The 2,185-nt window shown below is 49.9% G+C and overlaps 1 annotated feature.

Moving 5' to 3' along the window:
• Positions 705-999: an enhancer, noted in NCBI's record as "tiled region #5573; HepG2 Activating non-DNase unmatched - State 12:CtcfO, and K562 Activating DNase matched - State 12:CtcfO". NCBI's record gives its function as "activates a minimal TATA promoter and a strong SV40 promoter by Sharpr-MPRA in HepG2 and K562 cells {active_cell/tissue: HepG2 | K562}" and the evidence as "EXISTENCE:reporter gene assay evidence [ECO:0000049][PMID:27701403]".

The following is a 2,185-nucleotide window of genomic DNA, read 5'->3' on the forward strand; positions in this document are numbered from 1 at the left end:
GGAATCTGTAGAACACTCTGGGAGTCTGATGTCCCCCAGGCCAGGAAACAGAACCACTGAGTCAAAGGATATCAGATTTCTTCTTGGATCCTCATATAACCTTGTGAAGCAGGATCTATGAGGAACACACCCATTTTATCATCGAGGAGACTGAGACCCAGAGAGGTTAAATGACCTGCTCAAAGTCAGACAGTGAATTGGCAGCAGAGTGTGGGTGAACCTGGGACTTTGAACTCTTGATTAATGCTTTGTTTGGGTTCTGGGTGTAGAGGACAAACTCTGGAGTTGCAATCATGGCTCTGGTAGGTACCAGCTCTATGACCTTGGCCAAGTCACTTAACTTTCCCAACTCTTGATTTCCTCATCTGTAAAATGGGCATCATTCTAAATGTCTTTGTAGGGTTATTTGTAAGCATCAATGAAATGATCCATATGAAGAAAGCTCTTGATCCACATGAAGAAAACTCTCCCAGGACACAGTTGCTGCCATGTATAAAACCCAAATACTCCTTTGCAGGGTGCAGTGCAGAACCCAAAGGGATCCATGATCTCATGGCCAGAACAGCCTCCAGGAAGAAGATGCACAGCTTCCTGAAACCGCACATCCCTCCTTCCTCCTGGGAGCCCAAATTCCAAGAAATGCAGCTAAAATTGGCCCTCAAACAGCTTTTGCAGAGCACGTCGCAGCTTTTTTTGGGTCTAGAGAGCCAGTTTCCATGATGAAAGTGGCACAGAAGGAGAGACCCAGCTAAAAACAGCCACCGCCCAGACTGGTGTTAACAGAATGCAGCCTACCCTGTTGTTTTGGGGGTTTAGACGCTTCGACTTCCGCAGCAGACCTCCACATTGCCACTAGGTGGTAGTATCGCAACACCTGGCAGGAACTGCACCCCAGGACCTTGACAAAGGGGCTGGGAGCCACTTCTGAAAATCATGCCCATCAAATACGCACCAGCTACAAAATTCTGCACCAGATTATTTCCCTTTTATTTGGGGGCATTTATTTGCATTACATGGGCTCTGTGGAAGTGTCTCGTCTAAGGGCTTAGTGCTTTAGTGTCTCAGAAGCAAAGCGAAAGAATTGTCCATGGGTAACATCCTAGCCACATGGCCCCGTGGGTGTCCCTACTGCTAGCAGATATGTGATCCCTGCAGCCCACTTCACTTAGGAGGTTCATGATGCCTTGAGTCCAATGTAGTTGAAGAGCTTGCCTCGATTAGGAGGACGCATAGCTTGCCTAGGTGGTCCGTTGCTGTCCTCTTTGAGTGCAGCGATGGAGTTCTAGCTCTGCAGTGTGGCTGCCTTGTGCTGAGGCCATTAAATCGTCTGGAGAACGGGGGCACTCGTGAAGCCTGCCTCATGGCTGGTCCTTCCCCTGCGAGGAATGGATGAGTGACAGATGGAGGTTTCTTAGGTGGTGTCTGGCTCATAGCAAGGGCTCAAATGTTAGCTCCTTTTGCTATTTTCTCAGTATCTCCAGTGACTAGTGTGTTTTAGTCACTCAACCAAATGGTAGCACAGTGATCCTCACTGTCCTCGTTTAGGTGACAACAGACGTTAGAGGAATGAGTTCATGGTCTCGATTTTCAAAGTGTGGTCCTGGGCTGGCAGCATCGGCACCACTGGGCTCTTGTTGGAATTGCAAGGTCTGGGCCTCTAGTTCAGCCTGCTGCAGCAGAATCTTACTTAACAGCCTCTCTAGGGGGTTTGCGACACATTGAGGTTTGAGGAGTGCTGCTCTGAAGCTCCTTCTGGCTCCCGAATGCAGGGATTCACCCCAGCCTGGGGTGAGCTCTGTCTCTCAGATTCATATCTTTGGGAACAACAGCAGCCAGTCCAGCCCTGCATTTTAACCTTTTACTCTTGCTTTTCCCAAATGTTGTCTCCAGATGCCTCTGCGCTTGGGTGTGTTGGGGTGGGAGGGTGGGGCGATGGGGAGTCGATGGGGGGCCTCATGCTGCCGCAGATTCGGATTTTGCTGGGCTCAACATGCTTTCCCTGAGCTTCCAGATCCAGATCCTCACTCCCCAAGATCCTGCCAGCTTCCCTGTCTTTGCCTACAGCATCCTCTTCATCACCCCAGTGACCAGAAAATGCACTGTTTCCAACCAACCCCTCCTTTTCCCTCACTACCTTGGCCACCAAAGCATCTCTTGCACCCCAGTTTTTCTCTTTGGGTGCCGC

This window comes from Homo sapiens, chromosome 16, assembly GCF_000001405.40.
Source record: "Homo sapiens chromosome 16, GRCh38.p14 Primary Assembly".
Lineage (NCBI taxonomy): Eukaryota > Metazoa > Chordata > Mammalia > Primates > Hominidae > Homo > Homo sapiens.